Source organism: Homo sapiens, chromosome 10 (genome assembly GCF_000001405.40).
Source record: "Homo sapiens chromosome 10, GRCh38.p14 Primary Assembly".
NCBI lineage: Eukaryota > Metazoa > Chordata > Mammalia > Primates > Hominidae > Homo > Homo sapiens.
Genome location: NC_000010.11, coordinates 76,332,959 through 76,354,065, shown reverse-complemented (window position 1 = coordinate 76,354,065; position 21,107 = coordinate 76,332,959). Strand labels below are relative to the sequence as shown.

Below are 21,107 nucleotides of genomic sequence, written 5' to 3'. Positions count from 1 at the left end.
GGCAGGAACACAGTTTCCTGCCCATCCCTTGCAACTTCAACTCCAGCTCAAGGGGAAAGAAATGAGTCCCTAAAGTCTTAACTTTGATACTCAAAATACAGAACAGCATTTCTATTCTCCAGATCACAGAAAGCAGACCACAGACTAATTTTAAAAATCTTTGGTATTAGGGATGTTAAAACTGAGGATCTGCAAAAAGCCAGAAATCACATGTCCCCCCTTATTACAAAGTAATGGAACAGAATTTGGAAAAACCAGAAAACATCTCCAGGTCCATAAATCAGCCTAGTTGGAGGAAAACACAAATGGCCAGCACCTGGAATGAGCTTTCATCTGGAGCAGGAAAGCAGCCTAAAGAATCGAACTTCAGAGCCAAGACTCCAGACTGTGCACTGTGATTAATGACTTGAGTGAAAGGTCTCAGTTGAGGCTGAACAATTAACTTGTTCTCTTCACATCTCAGAACTCTCCACGGCATAGCTATGTCTCCCCTGATTGTACACATTTACTAAGATGCAAGCCAGTCTGCGGAGCTTCGAACGTGTCATCATCAGACTGTTCCTGACAATGTGGAGAGCCCTGGTATTTGTCAGGACTACTTCAGTCGAATAATCTGCATTGACTCTGCATGCATGTGTCAACCTTTCAGTTCAAGTTTAAGAACCATTGTAAATGAGGCAATGACATTGGCCTCAATCTATCTCACACACACACACACACACACACACACACACAACTCCACAGCTCAGAGAATTGCAAATGGACAGCACATGGCCTGGCATGCTTCTGGCCATTCCCAAAAAAAGTTCTTAGGGAATGTAATGTCCATGAGATTAATGGCTCCCTCTTGTCCTGCCTTTATCCTCTGGAATAGGTTTCTCTAATCTCTTTCAGACCCTCTAAAGCATTTACAGTATAGCAATCACTCCTCTTCAGTCTACACTGAGACTCTGATAAGACCTGCTAGAACCAAAGGAAGTCTCCAAACTTCTTTCCTTCTCTCCTAGAGGTGAATCTGTAGACAGGAAAGAAAGGCATTTTGAACATGGAAGTACTCAAGCTGGATATACTCAAAGAATCCAGTTTTCTTGTTTGATCTTCAAAAGCTGCTTCATTTGGGGCAAATGAGTTTACCAAAAGTGGATATGGCCCACACCAAAGTAGGATTTCAAGGGTACCGAGTGGCATGTCTAAGAACATCCTCCCATCTGACCTGCCACAGGGGCTGGTCCTTCCACCTCCCCTGTCCCTGATTCCATCCACAACCACTTCTTTCAGTGAAGGCACTCTACTTTCAGGGATATATTTTTTAAGACAAAAATAACAACACTATTGATAATAATAATAATAGAAACAGCAGCAGCAACAATATGTATACAGTAGTCCCTCCTTATCCACTTTCTGCATGGTTTTAGTTACCCACAGTCAACTAGAGTCTGAAAATATTGAATAGAAAATTCCAGAAATCAACAATCCATAAGTTTGAAATTGCATGCCATTCTGAGTAGCATGATAAAATCTCACACCATCCTGTTCCATCCTGCCCAGGATGTGAGTCATCGCTATGTCCAGTGTGTCCATTCTGTATATAGAATCGGCCGCTTAGTCACCTAGAAGCTGTCTCAGCTATTGGATTGGCTGTTGTGGTATGGCAGTGGTTGTGTTGAAGTAACCCTATTTTACTTAATAATGGCCCCAAAGTGCAAGCGTAGTGATGCTGGAATATTCTTATAATTGTTCTATTTTATTATCAGTTATCGTTATCTCTTACCATGCCTAATAATTATACTAAACTTTACCACAGTTATAAATGTACACACAAAAAAATAATACAGTATACATAGGGTTCAGTACTCTCCATGGTTTCAGGCATCCACTGGGATCTTGAATGCATCCCCTAGAGGTAAGGGGACTACCATTCAGCACTTCCACAGTAACTATTTGAAACTATTCATAGCAACTTACATAATCCTCACAACAACCTTAGTAAGGCAGGTGTTATTATTGTCCCTATTTTATGGAGAGGGAGATGCAGAGTGGTCAAGTACCTTCTCCAGAGTCACAGAGTCAATAAGTGGCAAAGCCAGGATTCAAACCCAGACTTCAGCCTGATGCTCTTGACACTATACTATCCTGTACTCTGTCCCCTAGAGGTACTGGCACCCACCTTTTACTGTTGATGAAGTTAGAGAACCAACACTTCTTACATAGCGCCTGCTCCTATACAGGAGTCCGGCCTAGTGAGTTCTGTTTCTGTGGCACCTCAAATGAGCTCTAAGTCTCTTAGCCCTAGTTGTCCTTATGTGTAAAATCAACATGCTGATAAGACCTATCTCACAGGGGCTTTTTTTTTTTTTCAGACTAGAGTTCTAAGAATCACCGGGGCTTGTTGAGGATTAGTGAGAGAATGTATATGCAGGGCCTAGCACAGTGCCTGGAAAGGGGTGGGTGCATAACATTGGTAGCTGTGTTCATTACTGAGCAAATCTGCTAATATTGGTGAATGGGAAACCAAAGGGGTGAAGAAGATGAGGCAGAAACCCTCACAGCTTGGAGATGGATGTAAAAAAGCAGATAAATGTAGCAGCCCCAGAGAAACTAGAATAGTAGGATACTCAGAAGTACCAGCAAGTTTTACTTACCCTCCTGGTCTGACCCAATTTACACAGTCTCCATGTTAGCTTATCTCCATGAAAGAAAGAATTCTACTTTAAAACATAAACTATATCAAGAACAAAAGAACAGAAAATGTCCATCCTAGGGGAATTCGAATATTCTCCCTGAAATTCCTGATAGAAAAGCAAGGAAGGTAGCTGAAGCATCCTCTGCAGCCATGTATGGCTGTTTCGGAGTCAATGCGTGGAGCTGCATCCTTCATTCTGCATTTCCTACATGCTCTTGCCAACCCCTGACATATCACATTCTTTGCATCAATAAGTGCTGGTGCCAGAACACACTAAATTGCCTTTGACTACATTTAACTGATCTAGTATTTTTTTATGATTCTTTCTTGTTGTACCATTTTTCACGTTTGACTTTATAATTCTCTGCTGACTTTAAATAAAGCTTTGCCAGACTACCCAAGGTGGTTTTTAATAGAGATTTAGGGGCTAGGTTGTGTTGTGGTTTGGATTCAGATTCTACTTCAGCAACAAGGGGAAATTAACGAGGTGGTTTCATCTCAAGTGCCCATTTATACTCGGAATGGACAGAGAGTTTATCTTCTTCCAAGCCTTGTAATCATGACACTACAAAGTGATATTCAAGAAATAAAAAATTATGTAGCAATAGCTTCCACACCGCAAAACCACTACACAGTGTTCCTGCAACCCCAGATGACTAGGATAATATTAAGACAGCAATGGAATTACTTTCTGAGTGACAGAGAGGATTCTGACCACATTCTGTCCTATGCCAAAGACAATGCTTGTTCTCCTAGAGATACAGGAACTCAAATGACCCTACACCAGCAACGTTAGCTCCTTCCTGATATTCCTCCCTCTTCTATGCTATCCATAATCCCCGACTCCTGCCTAGCTGAAACACTGGAAGCCAGCTGACCCTCTGTCATGGGGAGAGGTGACATGACTGGAAAGAAACAGAGCCAGACCAAAAAAAAAAAAAATCGGTCCCCATAATGAACGTTTCTTTTGAACAAAAGAATAAACTTGACTTAATTATTTTTTGAAAATATAAAATTGATAACTTAATAAGATTTTGGTTTTGCCTTTTCATTATCATGCAAGACTTGCTTGATGTTAAGGAACAAATATAACATATGTAAAATAATAAGAGCTATCATTTTAAAAATATCTGTCTACCCATTACCAAGCTTAGAAATAAATAAATCCCATTGGTCGTTCCTATCAGGTCAGAATTTATTTATTTTTTTTTTTGTTTTTTGCCTCCACCTACCTGCATTTTGAGTTTTTCATTTTCATGGTTTTCATCCTAGTTTTGCCAAAAATGTAAGGACCCTTTTACAACAGTGTTTTGTTTGGCACTTTCAAGCTTTATATAAAGGATATTATATGGTATCATTCAGTCGGTTTCTTTTTCTTTTGATTTTTAGATTTGTCCATATTGAATGTTATTTCACTTTATTTAATGAATCATTTTGGGTTGTTTCCGGCTTCTGTTTTTTTGTTTTGTTATGCTATGAGTATAGTTCATATTGATCTGAGCATGTATAATAGTTTTTCCTGTGGTAGAGTCCCAGGAGTGAGATTTCTGGAACTTAGGATTGGCATATATATTCAAATTCACTAGAAAATAATCAATTGTTTTCCAATAGAGATACATTAATTCACAACTCCCATTGAAATAGCTTTTCAGTTTTTGTTGCTCTACAACCTTGGTAACACTTGGTATCACCAGATTTTTAAATTTTGCTGAACCACTGAGTACAAAATGTATTTTGTTGTTTTAATTTATATTTTCATATTTAATTGTTTCTTTATAGACAATTATTAGGTGACTTTTGGATAGTTTGAAAAAACTGTTTATCCCAAATAACCAGGAAGTGCAGCGTTTATATCAAATAGGTATGATTATAAGTCTACATAGAAAGATACTAGGTAAATATATATAATATATATATGTATGTATGTGAGTCAACATAGCTACATTTATATTTTTATCTTCAGATCATACCTATACATATAGCAGGAGTGGCAAGCTAGCTCCCATGGGCCAAATCTGGCCCACTGCCTGTTTTTCTAAATAGTCTTATTGGAACACAGCCAACCCCATTGGCTTCCATATTGCCTATGACTACCTGCACACTAGAATGCTAGAGTTGAGTGGTCATGGCAAAGACTGACCTGCAATGCCTAAAATGCCTACTATGTGGCCATTTGTGATAAAAGTTTGCTGACCCACAAATTAGAACATCTCCATTTACAGACTATGAATACTTCATATTCAACATTCTCTTCAAATCCAGTTCTTCCAAATGCTGATCCTCACAATGGCTTCACCTGCCACAAAGACACTCATGCCAGAAAAACCTGGGAGTTATTTCATGCTCTTCCCTCCTACACACATTTACAACCAACATGTGGCTACTACCCAAGTATTTGACCTCCTCAACACGGCTCCTGTGATGTCCTCATCTGCCACTCCTTTGTGCAAGCCTTATGCTGACCTAGGCAACCCTTCAGCTAATGACCAAACCCCATTTGTCCCCATTATCCAATACAAATGGCTTTTCACAGCAAATGTCACAGTTTGCTGCATTTATTTGTCTGAGTTTCTGTCTGCTAGGTCCTCCTAAACTGTAAGTTCCTTGAGGCAGGGACCTTTGCCATTTCTACACATGTACAGTGTCTTGCATAGCAAATACCTAATCATAGATTAGCCTCCTGAAGGCTGTTCAATCTTTCTCAGAAACCATTGAGAGCCTGACATGGCAAGACATTTGTGGCTGCCACTATTCAGTAGGGTTTGGAAATAGTTGCTATTCTCCTAAACCACATGGTGGAAAGGACTAGGGGAAAGAGACTCCTTGTCAATATCATTTAATGCAATCGTCTTCACATGTTTACATGCAGAGGTGTTACCAGAACAACTCATTAAAAACAGTAGATGCCAGGGTGTTACCCAGTTCCCTTGAATTAGAATCCTTGGAAATACGTGCTTAAGCACTTTTACTTTATGGTTGTTCCCTAGGAGATTCTTATGTAGGCTTGAGAAGCACATTTCTAATAATGGCAGCTTCCTGAATACATCCTTCTAGCTCTACCCCACTCTACCACATTGCCCGTGATGGATAGCTATCAATGCACAGGAGCCCCCAGGCCCTTTGCTTGGGTACCAGAGGTTCCCTAAGATCGTTCACCCTTTCTCAGTGGCCCAGAAGAAGCCTGATTTGAGGGGATAACTGTGTACTTTCCTCGGGGCTACATTTTGATTTCTAATCTCTGTTTTTCATTGAATTGGTTGCATTCCTGGTTAATGATGGGGTCTATCCCCTGCACTGAGCATCTTCACTGCTCAGCATATCTAAAATCAAAATCTCCTGCTCTATCCTAGCACCACTCCCATGCATGTACCACACCTCCTAGTACTCGCCTGAGGGAAGAAGCATGCAAACATTTGTACAATGCATATATTATTAGAATGCCTGTTTTAATTTTTACTATCCTCTTCATTTTCAACATATTACAGATCATTTAATATGTAAAAAAACAAATGTTAATAGAAGGGTTAAACCAATGATGATACCAATAAGATGCTGTTAGTATTTATTAGAGATTTTTCTTATTAGACTTAATTTTTTCTTAAATTGCATGTGACCCATTATCATTATGCTTGGTGGATAATATAACAAAACAAAATTACCAGTCCATTTTACTCAAGAAGAACATCTAAGGTTCCTTGGGTTTTATAACACCAAGCATAGCACAAATTTAAGGAATTTTTCCAGTGCTGCACTCGGTGATTTTTAGGGGTCTATTTTCCCCAGAGGCATGTAAGTACTAAAATTGCATCGGATTATGTTTTGCTCTCAGCGGGTGAGAAAGTGCATAGTCAATGGGTTATTTGCCATTCTTTATTTCCATTTCATGCAGTCACACGGAGGTATCTCTCAGGTGGTTGTTGAAGTTTACTAGACACTCAGGAGCCATCCTGTGCTTTCTCTAAATGGCATTTATAATCTATAACCAAAGGGACTGTCCATGAAGCTATTGGCGTAGTATACCTAAATTCTGCTCATGTTAATTCAGGCTACAGAGATAAGACCTTTCGTTATCAGATTCCAATGTGGAGAGAAGCTGCATCATGTATTTAAGCAATATTTTTAGGATGACAAATAGAGATACAAGGTTTTATATAAAAGGACTAATAAAGACAGAACATTTGGAATCAGTATATAGGGAATAACGGCCTTCAGAACATGCAGATCAATTAATAAAGGGGATATGCAAGAATCACACCAGTGATTTTGCCATACCTTTATCTATCTGTAATAAAAGCACTAAATTCTGTCGATGCAGTATTACTCTGCTTTCTTTTAACCAGATATCTCCAATTAGACATTATTTCCATGCTTCACTAGTATTCTGATAATTGACGCTCATAAAGGGATTCCAAAACATTCAAAAAAGCCAGAAGTGCTCTCCTAATCATCAAGAAACATTAAAATGTATTCAGTGTAGTTGTATTGTTGTGTATTGTATTGGGGAGGGGGCAGAATGGAACAGAGGAAAGAACACAGGCTTCAGGTGTTAGAGAAACCTGGTTTTGCGTCTCATGGAGGACACTTATTAGCACTGGGACCTTGGGTAAACAAGGAAATATCTTTCTAAGCTTCAATTTCCTCATATATAAAATGGGGATAATATCCAACTTTATGAGATGTTTCCCGGATTAAATGAGATCACAAACATATGTAAAGATTCCAGTACAGTGCCTGGATCTAAAGAATTCACTCAATAAAGAATATTTTTAATGCTGATGTCTTCCTCTCCATTCTCAGTAGATTATAAGCCATACAATATATGCACGTACCTCTATATTTTTCTCCATATTTCTTTATTTACCAGCATATTTGATTCATGTGAATGTCCCATTCCTCAACAGTGACAGAGTACAGCAAGTTTACTGTGGATTCTCAACACTGGAATATTTAAATCTGAAGAAGAAAAGGGATGTTTTCACAGAAACAATTTATCACTTGGCCTTGGGGAAACAAATTTGCAAAGTCTCCAAAACAGTTATAAATCACCCAAAGTTATCACCTTCTTTGAGACTTTTTATTATTATTATTGCATGAGTAAAATATTAGCATATTTTAATAAAAACTCCAATACTGAAAAATCTGAAGTCCTTTTTCACCCTCTTCCACTCTCTTCCACTCCAAACAAAGTCCTCTCGTAGAAGTAACTATTGTTAGGAGTTTTGTGTCTACACTTTCAAAACTATTTCCAATTATTTATAGATTTCTGTGTGTGTCTGCATGTGTGTATACTTTTGTGCTTTTAAACACAAAAAGGTGTATAGCACTGTACTCTTAAATAAATAAGTTCTGCCAACACCATACAAATCTTTTGCACTCAAACATGTTTTTGCTCAAAAATATGTCTTGGAGATCTTTCTGTTATATTAGTATTTTGCTTACCTTAACCTTTTTTAAGTGCTGCATAGCCTTCAATATTACAAATTTACCATATTTTAATCATTTCTTTCCTGACAGACATATAATTTTTGTATGTATTTTACTACTAGAAAAATGCTTCAATGAATATCATTCTGTGTATTTCCCTTTAGCCATGTGTAATTGTTAGGTTATTGGCAGTATGAATTTTATTTTGCTCTTTGAAAATTCAATTTGTTTATTCTTGAACATGGTCCAAAGCTTTAAAGTAAATGCACGTGTAAGGTTAAGTCTTTTCCCCACCATACTCTTTTTCCATGCCTAGGTTTCCCATCCATAAATTGTCACTATTATCATGCATCTTTCAGAGTTTTTTCATAAATATAGATTCTTATTGTCCCACCTTTTATGCATAAGTAGCAGTATAATATACATACTATTCTACACCTTGTTTTATTCCCTTTTATTTATATATATAAATTTATAAATATATATAAAATAAATATATATCTAAATTTATCATGGTCTGTAATACAATTGCCAAATAATTTTTTAAGTTCAATATTCATTTTTGACTTTGCTTAAAAGGTTTTGTGGGCCGGGCGCGGTGGCTCACGCCTGTAATCCCAGCACTTTGGGAGGCCGAGGCGGGCGGATCACGAGGTCAGGAGATCGAGACCATCCTGGCTAACAAGGTGAAACCCCGTCTCTACTAAAAAAAAAAATACAAAAAATTAGCCGGGCGTGGTAGCGGGCGCCTGTAGTCCCAGCTACTCGGGAGGCTGAGGCAGGAGAATGGCGTGAACCCGGGAGGCGGAGCTTGCAGCGAGCCGAGATCGCGCCACTGCACTCCAGCCTGGGCGACAGAGCGAGACTCCGTCTCAAAAAAAAAAAAAAAAAAAAAAAAGGTTTTGTGTTCCTGTGTAAAAGGTTTTTTTTAAATAAAATCAAGAGTATTTCTAATAAAGTCAAATTTGTCCATTTTTGCTTTTTATATCTGGGTTTCTGAATTATGAGTTATCTTATGCTTTTTTTTCAGTACTTGTATGATTTCTTTTTTTTTTTCACTTAAAATTTTAATCCATTTGCAACGTATCCTGCTGTAAGGTGTAAGGTATGTATCTAAATTTTTTTCCAAATACCTATTATATGTCCCCCAAACTTATACTGAATGGCCCATCTTTTCCCTACCTATTTAAGATACTACTTTACCATATACAAATTTCTACATGTAACTGAGTCTAGTTCTAGACTACCTATTCTATTCCATTATTCTGGGGAGTCCTGTGCCAGTACCACATTGTTTTAATTATTAACATTCCATAATATATTTGATATCCAATAGGGCTGATTTTCCCTCATTATAATTCTTTTTAAAAATAATCCCAGCTATTATCTTTGCATATTTTCCACATGACCTTTAGATTCAGTTTTTCTAGTTTAAAACGGAAGAAAAAAAGCTTTGTTACATGATTTCATAATGAATTTATAAATTTACAAAGAGGTAAATGACATATTTATGATCTTGAGTTTTCCTTAAAAATAATACGAATGTCTGTTCTTAATGTCAAGAATTCTTGTGCACACCCTTCTAGAAGGTTTTTGTGGGTTTTTTTTCTTGGAGATATTGTATATTTTTGTTAATGTTTGATTATAATATTCCCAATTTATTATCTTTTATGTTGCTTTTGTAAATGAAGTTTTTCATTCAAAATACTAACAGGCTTTCATTTCAATATAAAAAGTCTAAAGATTTTGCATATTCACTGTATATTTTACTTTCTCACTGAATTATTTTTTTAGATTTTTAGTTGTTTCCCTTAAATTCCAAGTGCAAAAATCACCTGGCCAGGTGCAGTGGCTCACATCTATAATCCCAGCACTTTGGGAGGCTGAGGAGGGTGGATTGCCTGAGGTCAGGAGTTCAAGACCAGCTTGGCCAACATGGTGAAACCTCATCTCTACTAAAAATACCAAAAAAAATTAGCCAGGCGTGGTGGCACGGGTCTGTAATCCCAGCTACTCAGGAGACTGAGGCAGGGGAATTTCTTGAACCTGGGAGGCTGAGGTTGAGGTGAGCCAAGATCATACCACTGCACTCCAGCCCAGGCAACAGAGCAAGATTCCATCTCACAAAAAAAAAAAAAAAAAAAATCACCTGTAAACATGAAACTTTTATAATAGGCTTTCCACTTTGATGCCTGTAATCTCTTCTCATATCTAATTGCTTTGGTTAGTATTTCTAGTAAAACATTAAATAATAGGTAGTAACAGATATCTTGTTTTGTCCTTACTTTCACAGGAACGCCTCTAAGTTTGATGTTGGCTTTTGGACTGAGATGGATGTGTTTTTTCATATTAAGGAAGTACACATCTATTTTTGAATGCTTTTTATCAAGAATGGCTATAAAATTTTTGGCCAAAGCCTTTTTGGCATCCATATAATTATGGGTTTCATCATCAGATCTACTAAAAAAAGTAAATAAATGAGTATCCTAATATTGAAATTTCATTGAATACTTGGAATAAATGTTACTTGGACATGATGTTTTACTCTGCTTTTATGCTGCTAGATTCTGTTTGTAATTCTTTCAATTAGCATTTTTGCACCTATAGTTAACATTGGAGTGAGTATGCAGTTATTTTCTCTGTAATCCTTATCAGTGTTTCTATAAAGCCCTTATCAGTGTTTCTGTAAAGGCCTTATGTACTTCACAAAAGAAATTTGGAAGTACTTCTTCACTCTGTAAATATACTTCTGTAAGAGTAAAGTAGTACTTCCATACCCTGCAACAGTTTAAATAGCATTGGGATCAGCTCCATGTTATGCAAAAGCCAGCTTGTACTGACTCACAACAGCCTATCTGCACATCTCTTCTCATCTTCACTTTAAGTGATGTCACACAGGTAGCTTGAAATAAATTATGACAGAAATATTTATGCTTAGAAATCAGCAAACAGTACAGATCAGGGTTTTTTTTACTCCCTGCTCCAGCCCCCAGACCCGGTTGTTAAACATTTAGCAGAATACTATAAGTATCTACTCTTCTAATGTTTGGTAAAATTTCCTTGTAAAACCACCTGGACTTGGTGTTTTTGTGGGAGAAGTGATAGGTCTTTATGAACTTTATTTTGCCTGTGGAAATCAAACTGTTTCAATCTTCTATCTCTTCTGGGGTCAGCTTTGGGAAATTATATTTTCCTACAAAATTATCCACTTGATGTAGATTTTCAGATATTTGCACAGAATTAAACACAGTTTCTTCTTAGGATTATTTTAGTTTTCTCTTGTTTCTATGGCTTTTTATTTTTTTATTTTGTATATTTGCATTTTCTTTATTTTTCCTTGATTGGGATAGTTAATAATTTAGTTTTTCAAAAAAATTAACTTTTGGTCTATTATACTTTTTGTATTCTATCTTATTAATATTTATTTTTAACTTTAAAACTTCCTCCCTTCCACTTTCCTTTGATTTATGAGGCTGATATTGTTTTTGAGTCAGATGCTTAATATATCTTTTACAATTTTTGCTTATTTTTTCAAGTTAATATATGTACTTCAAGCTATCTATTTTCCTCTAATAATTATCTTAAATCTATCTATACATTCTCATAGGTAATGGTTTCATTAATATACTTCTCTAGCTATTCTACAGTTTAGGCTTATATGTTATCTTTTTTTTGTTTGTTTTTAATCCCCCAGGAATTCTTAACCATATATGTTATCTCTGACTTGAAATGTAAGAGTACTAGAAAATTTCTGGGTAGAGGGCTTTTTTGCAATCTAATTTTGTTATTTCTGGTTTTATTATATTATGATCTCAGTGTTATTGTACTACCTCTATCTACTGAAATTTATTGAAATTTTGTTTGTGATCCAGTCAGTATATTACCGGGGAATACTGTATTTGCCAAAATCAGTCAGAGCAATACTTCTGGTCCCACATGCTCTTCCAGAATTTTGCCACTCCCCATGAACAGGCAGAGTCTATTTGCCCTTCCCTTGAACATGAGCAGCAGGACTTTTGTAACTACCGTAATGAACAGAATATGGCCAAAGTAATGCTGTATGACTTCTGAGGTCATAAAAGATTCTATTATTTCTGCCTGGGTCTTCCTGTCTCTTGGGACTCTCACCCTTAGAACTCTGCTACTAGGCTATGAAAAGCCCAAATGAGCCAACAAAAGGAAACCACATGGAGAGGCCCACATGCAGGGAAAGGGGGGCCCTTAGCCAACAGCCAGCATCAACAACCAAACATGAACATATGAATCTTCTGATAATTCTAGCTCCCAGGCTTCAAGTCTTTTATTGAGGCCCCAGGCATTACAGAGATAAGCCATTCCTACTATCCTTTCTTGAAATACCTGACCCACAGAATCTGAATATAATAAGTCATTCTTTCATAGAATTAAATTTGAGGGTAATTTGTTACACAGCCGTACTAACTGGAATAACAATGAGTGTTTATGTTGACTTGAAAAGAAGCATATCCTATATTGTTAGGGTACAGAGTTTGATATGTTTTAATCAAATCTACCTTAATAATTTTGCTATTTTTGTCTTTCATATCCTTATTTTTTCCCCACTTAATCTGTCAGTAAATGAGACAGGTGAAGGAGAATCCCCTAAGACTAGTATATTTTTCAATTTCTCCTTTCATAGCCTATGATTTTTCCATCATGAATATTGGCACTTTATTTTGCTATATAGCTATTCGTAATAGTTATTTCTAATATGAATTTCAACCTTCAGTACCAGGCATCTTTCTTTGCCTCATTTACTGTTCTGCTTGAATTCTACCTTGTAAAACACTATAACGACTACAACACCTGCTTTCTTTTTATTCACATTTGTCCATCCTTTTATTTTAACTTTCCTGAGTCAGTTTGTTTCTGTTTCTCTTCCACAACACAGAGCATTAGGTTTTGCCTTATAATTCACTCTGAAAATCTTTAAAATACATGAATTAAGCATATTTATATATTTTACTACAGATATAATGGATCTTAGTTCTGTTATGTTATTAGGGCAAAACTGAGTAATTGTCACAGATGTCTTCTGGCCTACAATCCCTAAAATACTTATTATCTGCTCCTTAACAGAAAAAGTTTGCCTACTCCTGGTCTAAGTCATAATATTGACTGCAAATAATGCTGAATTTACCCCAATCTTTATTGCGCTCTGTGTTGTTGTTGTATATCTCATTGCTTTGGCTAGCACATCCAAGGGAATGTAGAATAGTCCTTCTCTGCTTGTTCTGAGACTTTGATGGAAATTTTTTAAATCCCTCTTTCATATGCAGGTTGCTATAGGTTTCTGGTAGATACACTTTATCAAGTTAGGGAAGTTCCTATCTATTCTGTGTTTACTGAGAGATTTTAGCAGAAATGGTTGTTAAATTTCATAGGTTTCTCCCTCTCTCTCTCTTTTTTTTTTTTTTTTTTTTTTGATACAGGTTCTCACTCTGTCACCTAGTCTGGAGTGCAGTGACACGATCTTGGCTCACTGCAACCTCCGCCTCCTGGGCTCCAGAGAGCCTCATGCCTCAGCCTCCCAAGTAGCTGGGACTACAGGCATGCATCACCATGCCCAGCTATTTTTTGTATTTTTAGTAGAGACAAGGTTTTGCCATATTGGCCAGGCCGATCTCAAACTCCTGAGCTCAAACAATCCACCCTGCTTGGCCTCCGAAAGTGTTGGGGTTACAGGCGTGAGCCACCATGCCTGGCCTCCCTCTCTTTTTATAACTAGTAACATCATCCTTATATATAATCCCATTTTCTTTTTTAATATGCCAATATGACACATTTACTGATAAATTCTAAAAGTAAACTAACCTTTCAATATTGAGATAAACCCTACTTGGTCAGGAAGTACTATTTTTTAAATGCATTACTAAGTCTTATTGTTAATTTCTCATGGAGGATTCCTTTATTCATATTTGAAAAAGAGACTGACCTAGAGTTTCATTTTCATGTTTTCTCACATTGCTTAGGGTCAGTTATGGATTCCTAGTAAGAGAAAAAGAGTAATTTTCCATATTTTTTATTTTCTGGAATAAATTATAAAAGATGAGATGCTACTTCTCTTTGAGGGCTATATGGTTATTTTTAAAGTTTCTTTTATCATCTTATTTTTTTCTCTGTTTAGACTTATATTTCTTCTTGAGACAGCACTGGTAACTATAATTGCCTTAAAATTACTTGTTTTACTTAGATTTTCAGATTTATCAATATGAAGCTCAATAGCTTTGTGGGGTTTTTTTTGTCTCATTATTCCTAATGTTAAATGTCAATCTCTATTTTTTCTTACTTTGATCTGCTAGGCTCACCTTTTTCTTAAATATCTGTTGGTATTGTTGATAAAGTATATTGTACATTGTTTTTATTTTATTAAGTCCTTCCATGTGTCATTAGGTTTGCTTGGTTTTTTAATTAGGATATATGAAAACATAGTTCATATATTTTTATCTTCTATTCCTTGTTTTACAGTTTATGTTTCTAAGGAGGAAAAATCCTTTAATTAGACTTTTGGTATATCCCACAGTTTTTAATATACTACAGTGTTATCACTTCCATTTACTCTTAAAGTATACTGTATACTATTTCCTCATAAACCCAAAACTTCATTTATTTCTAATTCTGTAGTCTATAGTTCTTTTTCTTACCTCTTTTACTTTTTTTTTTTTTTTTGGAAGGAGGGGGAAGGAAGTCTTCCTTTTTTAATATAATTTCTAATTTGACTTAGTTATGGTCAGTTAATTTGAAAGAAGCATGTTACACTTTTCTTTATGAGCCAGTTTGTGGATATGAGCCAATTTGTGACTGTTTCATACAGGTTTTTAAAGAATATCACCTTATTTTCCATGTAACAAAAGGAAGGTATTGTAAAAAGTCCATTCATTTAGCTGTCATTTTCATAGGAGATGTGCTAAAGTCTTCATGATGGTGACTTTGTTAGTTTTTTCTGGTATTTCTAGAAGTTTCTGCTTTATGAATTTCAAAGCCATGTCATTGGGTACATTAAGATTCATGATTGTTTTAGATTCCCATTATATCTTCATAGTTATACAAAATAACCCTCTTTGTCATTTCAGTAATCATCTTGAGTCTTATTTTGTCTAATATTAACATTGCTCTTCCTGGATTTTGTGTTAGCAGGTATCCAGTATTTCTGTCCTTTAATTCCAGTATTTTCAAGTTTTCTATGTCATTTTATTACATGCACCTCTTGAAAAAGTATTTTATTTTACATTTTTTTTTAACCAAATCTGGTAGTGCTCTGTCTTTTAGTCTAGTTCATTCTCATTTATTATGACTTAATACATTTGTACCAACTCTTGCCATCTTATTTTTCTGATCCAATCACTCATACTTACTGCCCTGGCTTAGAGATAGCTCTGTTACTTGATGCCTAAACTAAGGATGGAGAGAAGTATACAGACAATGTGACCCATGTGGCTGTACCCACTGAGGAAGCCCAAATTATTGCCTGCTATGAGGCCCCCAGTAGCTTTCTCTGTGCTTAGAGAACTCCTGAAGCTAGTTCTACATCCATTTATTTATTATTTATTTATTTATTTATTTATTTATTTATTTATGAGACTGTGTCTCACTATGCTGCCCCGGCTGGAATACAATGGCTATTCACAGGCTCAATCACTCAACACTACAGTCTCAAACTCCTGGATTCAAGCAGTCCTCCTACGTCAGGTATATCTGAGCTTGTAGGTATATGCCACCCTGCTGGGTCTTGGTTCTGCATTTTGAAACTCTGTTGCATTTGTTTTGGGCTGTGATCTTGCAGGAAATCTATAGTTTCTGATCAAAAGCAGTACCCTTTCTTTCTTTTCCAGTTAGTTATTCATTTGGGAATTGTTTTTTTTTTTTTCTATAAGGAGAAGGGTAACAGCATTTCTATTATTTCTTCTGCCTTGAAATAGCTTCCTGTCTTAGTCACAGTAAACAGTGTTAAAATAATCTATCAGGAAGCCATTAGGCTGAGATGGTTCCAGCACTTTGGATTCCTACATAAGCAAACCAAAACCCAAGTCAATGTAAGCAGTAAAATGAAACTTAAGCTTAACCAACAAGAAACCACTAACTAACTTCTAACTGGGACTTTCCACTTTAACCAATCAAATAATTTCTTTGTCTTGGCTTCCACAAACACCTTATAAAAAATATTCCCTCACACCCTCTTGGTGGAGCCCTGAACCACGTGCAATCTAGTGCTGCCTGATTCATGAATCACCATCTGCTCAAATAAATTCTTTAAAATTTTAATGCTCCTGGGTTTAACATTTAACAATGGGCTACAAGTTCTAGCCCCTGGTATTGTTCTGGCTTCATCTACCACTCTCCCCCTAGATTACTAACTCCAGCCACACTGACCTCTTGGTTGTGCTTCATGTATGCCAGGAGCACGCTCCCACCTCAGGGCCTTGCACTTGCTCCTTCCTCAGCCTGGACCACTTTTCTCTCAGACATTCTCAGGGTTCCATGCCTCACCTCCCCAGGTCTTTACTCCACCATCATCTTCTCAGTGGTGACTTCTCTGGCTGTCAGATCTTAAATTGCCAACACATACTCTCTCATGCCCTTGATCTGCTGTCGTTTTCATCTTAGTACCGATATACCATGTGGTGGTTTTATTTTTATCTTAGTTATAGATCCTCTCTCTGACTAGAACATAAGCTCTTTGAAGGCAGAAATGTTTGCCCACTTTATGCACAGCTCTATCTCTAATGTTTTGAACAGGGCTTGACACATAGAACATGCTCTATAGATATCTCTTGAATGAATTAATAAACTTCCAGGGATTTGGAAGAAGAAATGGAGGCTATGGAATATGTTAAGTCTGCTATCCTAGTTCCCCTTGTACTTTAGAATCATGCAGACATGCCAACATTCACTGCCCTATCTAACCTGTCTCTGGAGGAGTTTCATTTTCTGATTTGAACATTATATGAAATAAAAGTTCCAGAGAGTTTCCAAGGAGGCAGATTAAAAAAAGGGGGGTGGGGAGAAATTAGACATAACAAGGAAAGCTATCTCTTGAGAAAAGAAATTTGTGTAGGAGGATGGTTGTATGGGTTTCCTTAATCAAAAACAAAAAAGGGACTGCATCTTATCCTCTTTGACTCTCCTTGATTTAGGATAAACTGATGAGGTATAGCAAGATAAATAAAGGAATAAAGAGCTAATCCACAAGGGAGAAGACTGTTTTATTGCTCTCACACAGATGTCTGTCCTAACAACACAGGATATTTTTTTTTCCTTTGGGGGAGGGTGGGAATAGAGTTGGGGAAGCAGCAATTTAAATTGGGACCTCTGGGCAGTCTGTGTTTGGGAATTAGCACTGCATTATTTCCCTGGCTCCCCACCCCCTCTTGTCATTTAGTTGAGAAACATTTGCCCTGGAACAGCACACAGAGTTTGCATTAGCATCCCTGAGGACAGAACTTTGACCCCACAGACTAAGGAAGCTACAAATGGAAAATTCCAAGTTGCTGTACTCTTTTATTTTCATGCTAATGCTTCTGCAGAGAGTATTTAAGGAAACAGATGCACAAGAATAATAAAGAGCTGAGGACTAAGAACTCCTCTGGCAACTGAAGTTATGCTCCGTCCAGCATGATCCTGTATCTCCCTGTGCTTGCACAAGTCCAGGAGGGTCAAGGTGAAACCCTGATTTCATTTTATGAAAAAGCTGAACCAGCACTGACATAGAGAACCCAGGATTACATCCAGTCAGGATTTGAAAATTGTTTAAGTTTCATTTCACTTCCTTCAGGCTACCTCAAAGAGAGATGAGCATGTCCTTCAGTAAAAGGCCTTGGGGAATGGTGATTTCTCTATCTCCCTTGCCAATCCACACCCTAGTTCAAAACAATACTCATCCTTCTGTAAACCAAAAATAAAATTCTAAGCCTCCCTCAACTATCTTAATAGACTCCCTCCTGTTGGCCAGGGCACTCCAAAGTTAACCTGAAAAACTGATTCAGGCTATGATGGAAAGTCGGGGGTGGGTTGGACATGCCTCATTATGCCCTCCTCCCTGTTGGAATTCAGGAAAAGCCAACCAGCATTTAACATCAACATAGACCTTAAGTCTGATAAGAAATATTTACAATCTATTCTCTCTGAAGCCTGCTACCTGTAGGCTTCATCTGCATGATAATGCCTTGGTTTCTACAACCTCTTATATCACCCAGCTGTTCCTTTCTATTGACAACTCTTTCAACCAATTGCCAATCAGAAAAATTTTAAATCTACCTATAACCTGGAAGCTCCCCCCACTTAAAGTTATCTGCCTTTCTGGACCAAACCAATGTATATCTTACATGTATTTGATTGATGTCTCATGTCTTCCTAAAATGTATAAAACCATGCCATACCCAGACCACCTTGGGCACATGTCATTAGGACCTCCTGAGGCTGTGTCACAGGCGCATCCTTAAGTCTTTGCAAAATAAACTTTCTAAATTTATTGTGAGACATGTCTCAGATACCTATGGGTTCATACTTCCTTTGGATCTAACCTAAACAGTGCTTACTATATTTGCAGCACCTGGCTACTTCCCTTGTATTCTGTGCAACAAGAAAAACTTCTCACTTTGTCCTAAGAATAATCTCATCCTCGGTATAAATCCTCATGTGGGAGACATATGAGAGCACTACACTCTGCAAAGCCAGATCATCTTAATGTTTTATCCTAATTTGCAAACAAAACTTAAATTTTACTTCACCCTAGCTATGTCTTGCAAAGGAGAAGCTAACTGGAAATGTAGAATAATCATATCTAATTCTTGCTTTAAATGATCCACCCCCTACTTTCACCTAGATTATGACCAGAAACTAGACAAGAATCCACAACTTGATCTCTTCCTAAATCCTTTCACACTTGGAACTCACGCAGGGAAAGTTCTTTCAACTCAGTTCTCACCTTCATCCAAGGCCACCTCCCAATCTTTCTATCATCACAGATCCCTCCCTTCTCTGCACTCTTCCATCTAGCTTGGCCTCTGCTTTCTCTGCATAGGACCTTGTCTCCAATTAGACTGTAGGATTCCTGAAGGCAGAGCCCACAGCTTCTTTTTCATCTCCTACATGCCCTGGTGCAGGGTTCCACATGTTACGGCTCTCATGAAAACCATGGTTGAGTGACTGATTGAAGAAACAGCAACAGGCCCCTGCAGTGACCTGAAGCATATGGAATTCTGAGCAAGGGAAATGAAAAGCCCAAAAAGCCCAATACCACACCCTTTATAAAGTACACACATCACAACAAATCCAAGGTTATTGGAAAAGTAACAGCCCTCTCCCCAGACCAGCCCCAACCAAAAAATTTCATTAGAATGGATAAAGAAACTGCTGTAAATATTAATGGCTGGAGGAGGAAGCTGGAGGACGGCAGGCCGAGCTGAGCAGGTGTTCACTTCCCTCAATTTCAGTCCGTTTGCAGCCAACAACGTCATCATTTGGCCTTCTTGAGCTCACCGACAGGCCATTTTTCATGATTTTACCATTTCTGGCCAAATGCAAACTTTTTAATTAAATGTGCCACATGATTCCAGATGTTTGTTTATTTGTTCCAAAAAAGGTTGTAAAATCACTACATGAGGAAAAACCTGGGGCAGGGGTAAAGTTTTCTACAAGAGACAGGGAAATAAAAAGAGTCAGAAGAACTGGGACTAGGAAGTTAATACTGGGCCGAGCTCACGGCTGAACAATTTAGACCAAAAGCATTGGCTTCAAATCACTCTCCTTCCAGGAGCCCAAGATTCAGAAATAAAACACCCTGGACATTTATTAGTTCTTAAGAGAATGAAGCTCATCTTTAAGCCAAAGGCTAGAATGAGAACAAATGTTTGTGGCTGCTCTGCCTGCTTTTTGTACGTTTGTTCCTGCTGCCACAGCTCCACTACATTAACTCCACCGGTCTTCCATTTAACAGGCCAGATTAGAGTTCATGCATGAATGGTGGGAGAGAATCCTGTGATGAGGATGAACCGACAGAGGGGCAACAGGCAGAGACCACAGCCTCCCACACACCATGCTGGCTTCCTTATAGCTTTCTGGTCCTCTGTTTCTCTCTACCCTGAAATATAATCAGTATTCGGTCTATTGTGTTTGCAACAGAATGTTTCTCATATTCCTTCCTTTATTTTTTGTACTCCCAGTCAGCCAGCCAGCCACTCCAGGCCTTGATCATCGAATGCTGGATTATTGTAACATTATCCTGGGCCCTGTGTTTTAGTTTCAAAAGCCAACATCAGAAATATTCTGAATAACATGCGGAGGAAAAACACTGACTGTCCAGTTTCTCTGATGCCTGAGCCCTCGTGACCAAACCATCAGCAACCTCATACAACAACTCCATAGTGGCCATAAGGTTCCCTGTGCATGGCCCCCACTCCTGCTCTCCTGGCAGTATCTATCCAGGCCCCAGCTGTCTTCCCCATCTGTTACCAAGTTGTTTTCTAAATTACCTTTGCTAGAAACCTGCTCTTTGGAGGCATCACAGTCTATGGGCACAGAACCTGGTTATCTGGAAATCTAAGGCTTCTAAGACTGAAACAATTTCCTTCCAATCCCATCCCACCATGGCCTCCTTGAATCCAGGCTCTCTCCTTTCCAATTACCCCTGGATACTGCTTGCAGATTAATAATCCTACAGCATGGTTTTAAATAAAATATAAACCCTTCTGTCTGTCCAAGGCCTGCCATAATGTGGACCTATCCTACATAAGGAACCTTATTTCTGACCTTTTCAAAACAGGGTCCCTTTCTCTCATCAGTTCTACCTGTTCTTGTCCTTGTGCTTTATCTTTACCCATTTATCTTTCTGGAATGCCCTTCTTTTGCTCTCCACTTAACATGTTCTTCAAAGCTCAGTGCCAACATCCTCCAAAGAGTCATGCCTGAGTAGTCTCACCTACATTGCACGCTATCTTTTCTAAACGTTGAGAGCATTTGCAGCTTTTACCAACTAATAGAGCTC

General features: G+C 37.7%; 1 protein-coding gene across 3 annotated transcripts in view, besides 1 other annotated feature; it reads right to left on the bottom strand.

The window, feature by feature from the left end:
- Window positions 1-21,107, bottom strand: part of LRMDA (leucine rich melanocyte differentiation associated) — a 1,128,545-nt gene that overhangs the window by 206,103 nt on the left and 901,335 nt on the right. The gene's annotated exons all lie outside the window — the stretch shown is intronic.
- Window positions 17,541-17,835: a silencer, noted in NCBI's record as "tiled region #6857; HepG2 Repressive non-DNase unmatched - State 6:EnhF". NCBI's record gives its function as "represses a minimal TATA promoter and a strong SV40 promoter by Sharpr-MPRA in HepG2 cells {active_cell/tissue: HepG2}" and the evidence as "EXISTENCE:reporter gene assay evidence [ECO:0000049][PMID:27701403]".